Source organism: Homo sapiens, chromosome 11 (assembly GCF_000001405.40).
Source record: "Homo sapiens chromosome 11, GRCh38.p14 Primary Assembly".
Classification (NCBI taxonomy): domain Eukaryota; kingdom Metazoa; phylum Chordata; class Mammalia; order Primates; family Hominidae; genus Homo; species Homo sapiens.
This window is the reverse complement of record NC_000011.10, coordinates 123,641,882-123,655,849: the sequence shown is the minus strand read 5'-3', so window position 1 is coordinate 123,655,849 and position 13,968 is coordinate 123,641,882. Positions and strand designations below refer to the sequence as shown.

General features: G+C 46.8%; 1 protein-coding gene and 1 long non-coding RNA gene across 4 annotated transcripts in view, besides 2 other annotated features; one reads left to right on the top strand and one right to left on the bottom strand.

Moving 5' to 3' along the window:
* Nucleotides 1-2,165, bottom strand: part of LOC105369543 (uncharacterized) — a 19,316-nt gene extending 17,151 nt beyond the window's left edge. The window contains exon 1 of the long non-coding RNA XR_948124.4: nt 1,698-2,165. This is a non-coding gene — a long non-coding RNA (uncharacterized LOC105369543). The remainder of the gene's footprint in view (nt 1-1,697) is intronic.
* Nucleotides 983-1,212: a silencer, noted in NCBI's record as "silent region_4021". NCBI's record gives its function as "represses an Ori minimal core promoter by ATAC-STARR-seq in GM12878 lymphoblastoid cells {active_cell/tissue: GM12878}" and the evidence as "EXISTENCE:reporter gene assay evidence [ECO:0000049][PMID:35858748]".
* Nucleotides 1,226-13,968, top strand: part of SCN3B (sodium voltage-gated channel beta subunit 3) — a 25,437-nt gene continuing 12,694 nt past the window's right edge. For 2 of the 3 annotated variants that reach the window (XM_011542897.3, NM_001040151.2), the window contains exons 1-4: nt 1,226-1,624; nt 2,024-2,103; nt 10,100-10,263; nt 13,179-13,404. In XM_011542897.3, coding sequence (XP_011541199.1) covers nt 2,049-2,103; nt 10,100-10,263; nt 13,179-13,404 — 445 coding nt within the window. In that variant the 5' untranslated portion in view covers nt 1,226-1,624; nt 2,024-2,048. Of the gene's footprint in view, nt 2,104-10,099; nt 10,264-13,178; nt 13,405-13,968 lie in introns of all 3 variants that reach the window. The other variant, NM_018400.4, reaches the window with a different exon arrangement.
* Nucleotides 1,773-1,842: a silencer, noted in NCBI's record as "silent region_4020". NCBI's record gives its function as "represses an Ori minimal core promoter by ATAC-STARR-seq in GM12878 lymphoblastoid cells {active_cell/tissue: GM12878}" and the evidence as "EXISTENCE:reporter gene assay evidence [ECO:0000049][PMID:35858748]".

The window sequence follows — 13,968 nt, the reverse complement described above, 5'->3', positions numbered from 1 at the left end:
GCCATTGCACTCCAGCCTGGGCAAGAAGAGCAAAACCCCGTCTCAATAAATAAATAAATAAATAAATAAATAAATAAATAAATAAAATCAAGTCCATTCGTCCGAAATGTTCTTGGGGGAAGTCACAAATTGGAAAAGCGGTTGAATTAGGTCAACTTTAACTTCCCATCCAAATTTAACACAGTATACATGCTTCAAGGCCTAGTCCTCCAAACAGCACAGAGTTTATGGCCTGGTGGCTCCCTGCCCAGGAAGATCCGACTGGGGACATTCTGTTACTCTGTGAGATGTCAGGAGGGAGCATTTCCTGCTTCTGGTCCACTCACCGTCAGCTGTTGCTCTGTTATTCCATTTTGGAATATCAGCGTTAAGCTTCCCCTTTTGGAAAGAGCAGAAGAGGAGAAAAAGGAAGCTGAAGAAGGGCTCTTGGATTACTCTTTTACTTCAGTTCCAGGCGTTCCTAATCTGTTATGTCAATTTGAGTTTATAGTTGAATGTAAAGTTTCAGGTTTCCCTTCCAGAGATGGGGCGGGGGCACTCAAACAGCTGCTAGGACTAGGGAGTGGCTAATAGTTGGAAGACGCCAAACACAATCTATCTGCTTTATTAAAAAGGAGTAATTAAAGGAAAAGGGAGAACTGCAAAGAACCTGGGGAAGGGAAGAGGAGTCCTCTTGGGCCCCCCTCCCCTTGCGCTGACATTTGGATCACCTCACTGAGTGATGAGGTGAAGACAGGAACAGGTGCGCCTCATCCCTACCCCATTTGCCCTAAACAGGGATTATCTTGCTGAGTTTGCTGTGTCCGGGGCCAATTAATCAAGGCTAGACAAAGGATAGACAGCGAGAACTGGAAGGCATGGGGTCTGGGAGGCGAAGCCAGGAACCGCGTACGGCGCGCCTTGCAGATGACATCATTGCCTGAAAGAGCTCTGGCCCTTCTCTTCCCGGAGCTACACCCGGCAAGTCCGTGCGGGAGCGGAGTGGGTTTGCCTGGAGGGCGTGAGCCGAGGGCGGCGGTGCGCCCGAGCTCGGGGGAGGTGCGGAGGCGCGAGAGGGAGACCTGGAGAGACCAGCGAGCGCGCGAGCAAAGATATCCCGGCTGGAAGTGTCTGCGCCGCTCCCGGCTCCGCCCCCGCTCGGCGCGGCGCTGGGCCTGGGAGGGGCACGCCCATCAGGGGGTGGGGAGTGTGCACTAGGGGGAGGGTCCGGGGCGGTGGTGGTGGCGGAGAGCCGCCTGCGCATGTCAGGGCTGACAGCACACACGGCCTGGGGGCCTAGAGAAGGGTTGCTGATCACCTGCCACCCAGGGTCGGGGCCCCGCACCATCCGGGGGCGAGCTCCCGGGAAGGGGCTCCGCCTCTACACCCACCCCCCAACCTCTGACATCGCCGGCCGAACGGGAGCTGCCGCTTCCTTCCCGGCCCCGCTGCACCTCCCCAGGGAGCCGAGGGCGGGCGTGGACGGGACCGACGTGGAACGCATTCTGTAGCCCAGACGGGCGGCCCCGGCGGCTTCGGGAGTGGGGTCACGCCCAGCTGGAGAAGCAGTTAGGGCGGACGAAGCAGGAGCCGCGGGGCTGGGAGGATTCCAGTCGGAACGCAACCGATCCTGGGGAGGCGAGAGGTGAATCAACCTGGACCCTTCCACAGCCTGGCTGCTAGGCCAGCAGTGCGACTCCCTTCCGAGCTGAGCTTACCCTGGGCGCAAACGAGCGAGGCAGGGGCGCGAGTGGAAGCTGGAGTTCCGGGGTGGGCGGGGAGGCGACTGTCCGTGGTGCTGAGCGCCGGCGAGAGCGGGCGCGGAGCGGCTGATCGGCTCCCTCGAACTGGGGAGGTCCAGTGGGGTCGCTTAGGGCCCAAAGCCCCCACCCGGCTCCAAAAGCTCCCAGGGCCTCCCCAGGCACCGGTGCTCGGCCCTTCCTTCGGTCAGAAAGTCGCCCCCTGGGGGCAGTTCGTCCCAAAGGGTTTCCTCGAAAGAATCTGAGAGGGCGCAGTCCTTGACCGAGGGAATCTCTCTGTGTAGCCTTGGAAGCCGCCAGCCCCAGAAGATGCCTGCCTTCAATAGATTGTTTCCCCTGGCTTCTCTCGTGCTTATCTACTGGGGTAAGTACCAGCACCTCGCCATGCCGGATGCAGGTAACAGTAACAATGCTAACAATAATAACACATTGATGTCGTTGGTGACAGAAAAGAGCTCTGGCTGGCTTGCCTCTGTGCGTATCTGCCAGACATGGAGATGGCAGGGGTTCCATGAGAGCTGGGATTTTGAGATGGGAAAGGCGCCTCCCCACCGCCCTTCCCCGCTATTCTCCAACCTCCTTTGGTGGTTCTTCCGCCCTTCCTCCAGTTTCCTGATCATTCCAAAGTATTTTTTCCCTTTCCCTTTGCTGAAAGGAAATGCAGTCACGTTCACGAATAAAAACCTCCTGTGTGGTTACATTTTATTTCTCATCAAGGAGTCTATACTCCTGGAAAGCTTACTGGGTCTTCAAATTCGTTTCTGTATATTAAAAAAAAAAAAAAACCATAAAAGCTGGATGCATGAATTTTGAGAGTGAAAATACTTTAGTTGCTCATCATCTTCTTAATTTTAACAAGGAATGGGAAGAAAACAGCCTTCAGCCATTTACTGCTATATATTAAATAAATAGGCAACTGTGAAATGCATCTTTCTTTTTCTTCTTCTTCTTTTTTTTTTGGTTTGTTTGTTTGTTGCATGAACCTGTGGAACTAAGATGCTTTGGTGTTAGGGGAGGAGAGCTGGGTTTTTGCCTTCAAAGGTGAATAGATTCTTGCTTGTCAGCTGTGAGAAACTGAGGTGACCTTCCCCCTCCAAATAAGGGAATCTTACACTTGGAACAGTAAAGGCTGAAGAGAGTGTCAGAGACGGTCTTGGAGTGCCTGAATGTGTGTAAAGGGGATTGATCTATGTGATAATGTCTGATTGTGTGATTGAGACAATGTTTTACTGTATGTAAATATATTTCAGTGTCTGGATGTGTGCACTAGCATGTGTGTGAGCATGTTGGCATAGACATCTGAATGCATGGGTGAGTGTAGTAGTATGTGTATGGCAGGGGTGGGGGTGGTAGTTCTGGGCATGTCTGCCTTGGTGTCTATGATTAGATCCTCAGATAAAATATAGGTTCTCTTCAGCAGACAGATTGCTTTACATGATCTTAGCTACCTTTCTCCGTGCAAAAATCAATACACAGGGTAATTGGACACAATTGTACCCACCTGCCTCCCTGAAACGAGGCATGTGAGCTTATGTTCCCATGGTTGGCATGAAACTCATCCTGCCTATACGGTGGCAGACATGCTGATGGGAGCTGCCTCTTTGCTTTAGTATTACTTTTTCAAGCCTCCAGGACTAACTCTAGCTGCCAGCATTATCTGGATTTTGCATGTGACCAGAGGCAGAGCCAAGCTTCCTGTCAAAATGCCTGATGAGACGGACTAGGAAGGTTGAGGAGGGAGGTAATGTCAGCCCCAAAGGCGGACTCATCACCAGCCATCCCCAGTAGAGTAGACCAGACCTGGAGATGGAGCAGCTATAATATGTTGCCAATGATCTCACCTGCCTTGAAGATTAAGGCTGAAATTTTCTCAGGGGAGGCTAAGGCTGAGGACACGAGGCTTAGAAGATGTTAGCCTGGCCAGATAAAAAGAGCGTCGGTAAAGCTGAAGTTGTGGATAAGGGTTGGAGTGAGACTCTGCAGAGACTTTCTTCCTGAACTCTAATCTAAGATTTTGAGATCCCTGCCTGAATTCCAGTGGAGGGAGAGAACATGCTATCATCCAAGAATCTTTTAACTAGAACTTGTGCAACCTGCATTGGAGTCTCAGCTTTGCCACTAGCTTACTATATAACAACCTTAAAGTGCTATCTGGTTCCTTCTGTGTAATGTTTGGAAGTTGGCACGGGTGATATCTAACATCCTTTTCAGCTCCACAGATGAATGGTAGAGAAATCTTTGAAGAATATTGCTAGAATTGACAGAGTGCCCATCCCCTCCCCGACCCCAAAAAACTTTGGAAGAAGTGTACACAGTATGCCCATCTTTGCCCATTCTCAGTTTCTTTGCAAACTGAGTGTTGTCTCACCAAACTGAAAAGCTGTGGAAGGGAAAGAGAAGTGGTTCAGGACACTTGGTTGTTAACTGTAAGAAAAACAGCTTCCCTTCGCCAGGCGCAGTGGCTCACGCCTGTAATCCCAACAATTTGGGAGGCCGAGGCGGGTGGATCACCTGAGGTCAGGAGTTCAAGACCAGCCTGGCCAACACGGCGAAACCCCATCTCTGCTAAAAATACAAAAATTAGTCGGGCATAGTGGTGCGTGCCTATAATCCCAGCTACTAGGGGGACTGAGGCAGGAGGATTGCTTGAACCTGGGAGGTGGAGGTTGCAGTGAGCCAAGATTGTGCCACTGCACTCCAGCGTGGGCAACAGGGCGAGACTCCATCAAAAAAAAAAGAAAGAAAAACAGCCGCCCTTCACAGATACAATTTCATTTGATTTGCATGCAATTCCAATATTGAACAATAATGCTGGGTTAGATGTGTTCCCCCTTCCAAAGTTGATTTTTTAATATGATGTACAATATGAAGGGAAAGAGTCTTTCCATTTACTTTCTGCATGCATGAAAAAAAGTTTCCTTATTTCCTTTGTTAAAGCATGTAATAATTTTTATTTTTTAAAGAGATTTAAAAAATAATACAATACAATAAATAATTAATACAATAAATAATTAATACAATAAAATAATAATAATTGTATTAAAAAAATTAATACAGACGATGTCTCGCCATATTGCCCAGGCTGGTCTCTAACTCCTGGGCTCAAGTAATCCTCCTGCTTCAGCCTCCCATAATGCTAGGATTATAGGCATGAGTCACCATGCCCAGCCTTTAAAATAAATAAATAAATAAAACCCTATATTTGCCTGTGCATCACAGTTTACAATGTAATTTTCAATACATTGCTTGTTTTGGTCCTCATGTCTATCCCTGAGGTAGTCAGGGGAAAGAGTGCTATTTCCAGTTTAGAGATGAGAAAATGAGCTCGGGGAAGGGAAAGGACTTGCTAGAGAACCCTTGTTTTCTGATTTCAGTCTTCCAGTGCTCCTTCTAGCACCTCTCATGGACACATGTGCTACTATGCACAATCGCCAGGAGGGCACCTGTCCTCCCATTTCTCTTCTGAGCTACCGTCCCATCTCTCCCCAACACCATCACCTGTCCTAGGGCCTCACTCACTAGCACCTAGTACCTTCTCTGCCCTTCTTCTCCAGGCCTGCCCTTCTAGTTGCCCTGTGTGTTTTCCTCTCTTCCCCTGGTGATCTTTCGTGCATCCTATTCAAGGCCCTAAGTGACCAGCTAAATTGACAGAACAAGTCACGTCAGGGTGTCAGCATCTAAAAATAACCTCATTTATTACCCCTTTTTGGAAATTGTTTATATTCTAATCAAATTTTTCATTATCTCAGTGCAAAGGAAAGCATTCTAGAGCAATCTCAGGAGGAAAAATTGGGCATTGTCCAAAGAAGAGAAAGATTTGAGGGTATCAGAGAAGCTGGTTCATAATTCTTTATTATCTGCCTCATGATAGATGGATGCTACTACTCCCTAGTGAAATATGATCATTATTAATAATCATGTTTTTCCTTCTCATAAATTTCTTCATTATTATTATGGGAATTGAAGAGAAGAACAAAGGTCAAATGATTTGGTCAACATTATTCCAAGAGTTTGTTACTTTTAGTCAGCAATGTAGTTTGAGCTCCTGCCATATTTACAGCCTTCTTTGAATACCTAGAGGGTTTCATAGAAAGAAGGGCAGTGGTGGACTGGGTGCTGTGGCTCATGTCTGTAATCCCGGCACTTTGGGAGGTCAAGGTGGGTAGATCACCTGAGGTCAGAAGTTTGAGACTAGCCTGGCCAACATAGTGAAACCCTGTCTTTACTAAAAATACAAAAATTAGCTGGGCGTGATGGCAGGTGCCTGTAATCCCAGCTACTCAGGGGGCTGAGGCAGGAGAATCGCTTGAACCCAGGAGGCGGAGGTTGCAGTAAGCTGAGATCATGCCATTGTACTCCAGCCTGGGTGACAAGAGTGAAACTCCATCTAAAAAAAAAAGAAAGAGAGAGAGACAGAGACAGAGAGAGAGAGAGGAAAAAAAGAAAGAAAGAAAGAGAAAGAAAGAAAAAAAAGAAAGAAAGAAAAAAGAAAGAAAAGAAAAAGAAAGGAGAAAGAAAGAAAGACAGTGGTGTGCTGAAGACTCAAAGGATGGAGAAACAGACATTACCTCTTGAAGCAAGGAGCAGCAAGTCATACTGCAAAAGGCAAGCAAACAGAGGTGGGGGAACTTTGTGGCCATTTTTCAATGTACTCTTCAGGATCATACGAGCAGAGTTCTCATGCCCTGAAACTAGATTTTGACCAGAAGGGAAGGAGTGGGACTTGCTCTATGATGATACCTTGGATTATTGTTGCCTTAGGGGCAACCAAGAAAAGAGAGGGGCTACCCCACTTTCTGCCATACCCCATTTGCCATCCTGACTGCTTTCCCTCCATTAACTATAAATGAACTAACTATGCTTCTATCTCTGCCATCCCATCTACTTGTTCACTAGAGCACATCACCTCTCACCTTTTCAAAGATGTTAATCCAGCAAATCATTTTCTTGCATTTCATTTCTTTCAAACTCCACCAGCTCTACTGTCATCTTCACCAAAACAAAATCGTCTTCCAATCCGATCCCTGTACCAGACCTCTTAACTGTTTTGATTCCACCCTTGTCCCTTTCACTTCATCAGTTTATTCCCAACACAGCATCAGATCATATGATCTTGTACAAATTAGATCCCATCATTCTTCCTCTCAGAACCTTCTGCTGCTCCATGCAAATGCCATAAACTCTAAGCAAATGCCAAGGTTCTAACATGGCCAATAAGACCTGCTGTGATCTGGCCCTCCCCATCCCTCCTACTACTTCATCCCCTTCTATTCTCACGTTGTTTGCTGTAATTTCCACATTGGACTGTTTGCTGTCTGTTGAGCATGACAAACACACTCCTTTGGGCCCCTTGAGCCCTTGAGTTGCAATTTCCTGTGTTTGACATGCCTTCACACAGATATGTGTATAGCTTGTATCCTCATTTCTTTTCTTCAGCGCCTGCTCAATGATACCTTCTCAGAAAGGCCATCCTCCAATGACCCTGTGCACACACTCTCTCCTGTTTTATTTTTTCTCACAGCACTTTTTACTATTTAATGTTGCTGTTTTCCCTCTCCCTCCATTGGAATGTAAGCTCCATAAAACAGGGATTCTTTTCTTTTGTTCTCTGGTGTATTCTTCGTGCTTAGAATAATGCCTGGCACCCAGAAGGCACTCAGTATATTTGGGAAATAAACGAAAGATAGAATAACATGAATAATGACATTTGTACAAAGCACATTCATGTAAATTAATCCATAAAATTCTCATGATAAACCTACTAGACAGATGTAACTTTCAGCATGATGTCGATGAATAAACTGAGTCCAGAGAGATTACATAGTACATCAAACCCAACTCTTCAGTTGCCAGATTCTATCTTCACCCTGCCTCTATAATTGTAACTGTGCATTCCTTGAGACTTCTTAGTCCACTTCTGAGTTTGTCAACATGAAATGAATGAATTTATCTTTGCCAGCTCTCATTAAATATGAATGTGCCTTGAGGTTCCATACTACACGGAGTTCTTGCTGCATACGCTCTACCCCTCTGCCCACTCACAAACTTTTGCGCAAACCACATTTCCTTTTTGTTTAATCAGATCTATAATCAATACTTCAGACTCATCATATGCTGAAGATGTTTCTGATCAGTTCTCCCTAGATGTGAGTCCTCTCTCCATTAACGTGGCTCACCATCTGCAGAAGCAATAGGTCCTCTTGAAGACTGTCAGATAAGACTCACCCAGCTTGCTGGAGAGTTGAAAACCCAATTACATTTATTTTACCTTGATGTTTACAACTTTAAGTTAATTCTAGTGCCACTAGTTTTTAAACTCCATGTTTTAAAATAAATACATTGCCTTCTAAGTCAATCAAACACAGTTTTTGGACTCAAAATTAATTTATGGCAGTGTCTTATTAAGCTCTAAATAAAACCTTCCTCTGCTTTTAGGAAAGAACGCTCTGCCAGGAGATGAACAGGCTGACCATTAACAGTGGACTAGTTTTTAAATGTAGTGTGTATTATTTCTTTTTTTTTCTGGGGGTTCTGTTTTTATTATTAATTCATGAAAAAGTAGCATCAGAAGGGATCTTCAAAGTCCTAATATAAGAATCTGCGGTGACCATCATGTTGTTTTTATTTTTTCAAGAGATAGGGTCTTACTCTGTCAACCAGTCTGGAGTGCAGTGGTGCCATCATAGCTCATTGCAGCCTCAAACTCCTGGGCTCAAGCAATCCTCTTACCTCCTGAGTGGTTGGGACTACAGTTGTGTGTTACCATGTTTGGCTAATTTTTATTTTATTTTATTTTTGTAGACTCAGGGGTCTCACTATGTTGCCCAGGCTTGTCTCAGACCCCTAACATCAAGCAATCCTCTCAACTTAGCCTCCCAAAGTGCTGGGATTGCAGGTGTGAGCCACAGCACCTGGCCTCGTCTTACTTTCAAATATCCCAAACAATGCTGTGTACACTCTCTTAGCATTTAGTTATTTGCATTTGTGAACAGCTCCAAAATCATAAAATTCTTTCTTTATTGCATTAAACTTATTTTTTTCTTATAACTTTTAGGGTTGGGCAGAATCAAATTTCTCTTCCATCTGCCAGCCTTCAAATATTTGAAGACAGATATGTTCTGTGTCCAAGCTAAGCAACTCGAATTCTCCCATTTTTTCCTCACCAGACTTTATCTCCAGATCCTTCACCATCTCCCTCACCTCTGGGCATGCACTCTTTGAACAACTTCCTTTTTTAAAATGTGACATCCTGAACTGATCATAATAGTCCAGATTTGTTCCAAAAACAGTGCCGAGAAACTACGCCTCCTTCCTCCTGCGTACTGTACATCTGTTAATGCAGCTCACATTTGCGCATGTTTTGCTGGCAGCCTTGTCCCGCTCAAGTTATTCTGAATTATCAAGCTGATATACTTGCCTCCTTTTAAAAAACAGACTTCAAGTTTCTAGAGGGCAGAAACACTAAGTCTTAGACCTCTGTGTGGCATGCAAGGTGTCCCACAATCTGACCCCGCTCCAGATTTTAACTTGCCTTGCTATACTCCTCTGCATAGACCATTGTTCCAGCTTAGTGGTCCGCTCGCCATTTTCTTCACTGCTGCTCCAACCTCCACCATGTGTCAGAATTACCTACAGTTTTCACACAACACAGATACAATTACATCTCTCCACGACTTTAAAACATTGGATACCTCACACTGGAAGGGACACACAGAGGTCTTCACAGCATGGGCCCTGCCTACCTTTCTAGCCTCATGTTTCACCATCCTTCTCTTCCTTTCTCCCCAGGCCAACTGGGAGTAACTAACTGCCTGTCTTCTAAGAACAGAATATATCATGAGTGTGTTACTTGCTGTGGTCTGGTTTAATCCTAGTTAGGAATATGTGTTCCCTATTGGATTATAAATGCATTTAGGGCATGGTTAGTGTTTTATTCATCTTTGCATCTCTAGTCTAGCATCAGACCTGGCAGAGAGTGGATTTTAATGAGTGGTGGTGGAATGAAGGGGGATGGATGGTTGCTGGGTAGGTAGATGCCCTGTCTCCCATTTGGGCTATAAGACTTAGAGAGCAGGGCTCAAGTATAATGTACGGTGCTGCATCTCCACTGCTTCCAGGGGAAGGATTTCAGTCAATGTCTAGATCATCCAGGTCTCCTCCAATGTGTACACGTTCTGAGCCTGTACATTCAGGGAGCGCAGGTGAAGGTGTAGACATGTGCACGTGGCTTTTTTCAGGTTGGCCTCATGACTCTTCCTTCTCTGTCTCTCTTCCCTCCCTCCTTCTTCTCCAATGTTTCTCTCCTGTGCCCCTCCCCCACCACCTGCTGTTCCTTCCCTGTCCATCTGTCCTCTCTGCAGTCAGTGTCTGCTTCCCTGTGTGTGTGGAAGTGCCCTCGGAGACGGAGGCCGTGCAGGGCAACCCCATGAAGCTGCGCTGCATCTCCTGCATGAAGAGAGAGGAGGTGGAGGCCACCACGGTGGTGGAATGGTTCTACAGGCCCGAGGGCGGTAAAGATTTCCTTGTATGTTAGACTGCTGACTCTGGCCTTTCTTCTGCTGGCCTCTGCTGTTCCCAGCCTGGCTCCTGACAGTCCGGGGGATGCCAAGCTAGCAAACACTGGCTCCTTCTCTTCCAAACACTGACAGATCCTCAGCAGATAACTGACAGCCTTAGTGAAGCCCCAGCTTCTGTGAGAGAAAGGGCACTGGGCCAGCTGCAAGCACCCTTGATTATGGGCTGGAGGAAGCAGAGGAAAGAGATATGCTATATTTAAAGCCTACTATGTGATAGGCGCCCTACCACACATTTTGCAGGTGTTTTCATCTAATCTTCTGTGCCATCCTATTATATGCATTAAATTCATAAAGAAATTGGAATAACACAAAGCATCATTATGTGAAATAACAAAGGTTAGCTCCTTTAACTCCTGCAGTCCCATTGAAATAGGAATGACAGGGATGACAAAGAGTGATCCAAGGGTGACATTCACCCGGGACACCCAGCACAGCCACATCAGTGAGTCAATTATGTCAAACAGTTCTCTCGTGGATACTTGCTGTGCCGAGTCTCCTAAGTGGCTGAACCCCCAGACTTATCCATGATTTGGAAACGAAGAGATTCGCTCCTGGCAGAGCTGGGAGTCTTCCAGATTCTGCTCCTGCACCATAGCCAGTGTCAGTTCTGGGTGGTTGGTGCCAGTGGCAAAGTGGTTGTATATGTGTGTGTATATATATATATGTATGTGTGTGTGTATATATGTGTGTGTGTATATATATATATATATATATATATATATATATATATATATTCTCTCTCTCTCTCTCTCTCTCTCTCTCTCTCTCAACGGGGTCTCCCTCTGTCACCCAGCTGGAGTGCAGTGGTGTGATCTCGCTTACTGTAACCTCCACCTCCCAGATTCAAGCGATTCTCCCACCTCAGCCTCCCCAGTAGCTGGGACTATAGGCACCACCACCATGCCCAGCTAATTTTGGTATTTTTAGTAGAGACAGAGTTTTGCCATGTTGGCCAGGCTGGTCTCAAACTCCTGACCTCAGGTGATCCACCCACCTCGGCCTCCCAAAGTGCTGGGATTCCAGGTGTGAGCCACCGTGCCTGGTCGGCTGTCATATATTTTGAATACCACCTTGGAGATGACCATTATTTACTCCTTCACTGACTGTGGAGCCAGGCCACCTGGGTTTGATTCTTGACTTCACACTTATTATCACCTCTGTGTCCTTGGACATGTTGGTCATCCTTTCTGTGCCTCGGTTTCCTCATTTTTAAAGTGGGGATATAAAGCATAGCCAAATTATAGGGCTGTTACCAGGACTCATGAGCTATAATTTTTAATGCATTAAAAATAGTTTCTGGAATATAGTAAGCACTGGTAAATGTTTGCTAGAGAAAAGATAGACACAGAAATGAGGAAACTGAGGCTCAAAGAAGTTAAGTTAATAACTAAGACAGCTTTGACTTGAGCCAGGTGGTCTAACAGCAGATACAAGGCCCTTTTTACGGCACTGCTTTGCCTTCCTGGGGGCAAGTTTCTCCTCCACAAAGATTTGTAACAGAGACAATGGAAGGGCGAAACTGGGTTTAGCTTGCTCTTCTTTCTCACTATCCTAAAGCCGAACCCATTTCTAACTCTAGCTTCTATGTGCCATTCTGATGCAGATTTGCAACCGTCTGGTACTAAGACTGGGACCAGCGGAGACTTCCCAGAGCCTGGCTCAGGTGTGACAGTGACACGTCAATGAAGCTGCAACTGAGGCTAGCCCCCAGCTGCAGGAGGCTGGATGTCTTGGCCAGATGCAAAGGCCCCCAGGGCCTTCAGGCCTGGTCATGTACCAGTGATAGCTGCCCACATTGCTTCCAGGCCTGCCCAAAGTGAGGAAAAGGTGGATCAGAAGAAGAAGAAAATGAAAAATAAAACGGCAACAGCAAAACATCCATGGAAATCCACAGCAAGGCTGTCTCATAGAAATGTTTGTGATGGTGGAAACCTTCTCTATCTGTGCTGTGCGATACAGTGGCCACCAGCCACATGTGGCTATGAATAATTGAAATGTGGCCAGTGCCACTGAGGAACTGAATTTTACATTGTATTTAACTTCTAAGAAATTGAATTTAAGTAGCTACATGTGGCTAGTGGAGACTAGAATAGCCAGCACAGCTGTAGAGAGAGAATGGCACATAGAAGCTAGAGTCAGAAATGAGTTTGGCTGTTATGTCAGAGGGTGGAAGTGTTGAGGAAAGAAATTTAAAAGATGATATTTTAGTTAAAATTCAGTCCAAAGCAAAAGATGTGACGTGTGCCTCTCTGGTGATGGCTCTCTGCTCATCTGCCATGCTTCAGCATCCTGGGCCTCCTTCCTGTGGCCTGGCCCAGACTGTCCTACAGCCCCTGATGAGTACCAGCACAGAGAGTCCAGTTTTAAAGCCAGGGCTTTCATATGTCTTCATTACTAATGAATCTGCCTGTCTTGCTGTCTCTACCTTGTTCTCTTGCCAGCGGCTCTGGGACACATCTTACTCTCTTGTTCTCTCTATCTTTTTACAATCCTGTCTTTCTCTCAATGTCCGTCTCCTGGGCTCCCATACTCTTCTCCCGCCTGCCTTTGTTCTCCCTCTTTCCACCCCTTTTTTTCTGCCAAGCTTCTTCCTACACGCCCGTGGCTGCCTCTGTCCTCACCACGTCCACATGCCCTGATGCCTGCTGCCTCTGCCTGTCCTTCCCTGTCTTTGCTCCCTTCCCTACCCTCCTCTGTGCCTCTTCATCCCACCCCCACATTCTGGGTCTCCCGGTGGCATTGTCCCCTCTCTTCCCTGTCCATGCACAATTCTGCTCCTTTTCTCTGCCCTGTCCCTAACTCGGCTTCCCCCCACTGCCATCTCCTTTCCTGGCCCTACCCTCTTCTGCTCCTCTATCTGCAGATTTACGAGTATCGGAATGGCCACCAGGAGGTGGAGAGCCCCTTTCAGGGGCGCCTGCAGTGGAATGGCAGCAAGGACCTGCAGGACGTGTCCATCACTGTGCTCAACGTCACTCTGAACGACTCTGGCCTCTACACCTGCAATGTGTCCCGGGAGTTTGAGTTTGAGGCGCATCGGCCCTTTGTGAAGACGACGCGGCTGATCCCCCTAAGAGTCACCGAGGAGGGTGAGGCTGAGGCACAGGGTCTCTAGGGCGTCCTGCTCTCTGTGGACAGGGAAGGGTAGGACAGCAGTTTTCCACGAGTGAGGCCCTTAAAGAGTGCAAAAACCCATGTATTTGGAATGGTGACATCTAAAAATGTCACCATTGACCCATCTTCTTCTGGTGGCCAGCTTCCTGTAAATTCCCTAAGCAGCTTGTCTTTCTGTGCCTTTCCTCAAAGCAGAAAGGCTTGGAGATGATAGAATGAGCTCTTCCTGGTCCCTTAGAGAAAGAGGCTAGCCTCCATGAGGCCTAAAGCTACTGATTCAGCTAGGCCTTCTTCTTTGGCCTATGTTGAATCCCTGACTCAGTGGGCTCAGAGAAATCTCATGAGGTTACCCGGAAGTCATCTCTCCTTCTACCTGTAAGCAATACATGCCTCTAAGCCAGGGGTTCTCAAACTTTAGCAAACCTCAAAATCTCCTGCAGGGCTTTTTGGAAGCCAGCCTTTCTGCTTTTGTCGGTGGAGCCTGAGAGTTTGCACTGCGTGACACACTGCCTGGCGGGCAGTGCTGCTGCTGGGACCAC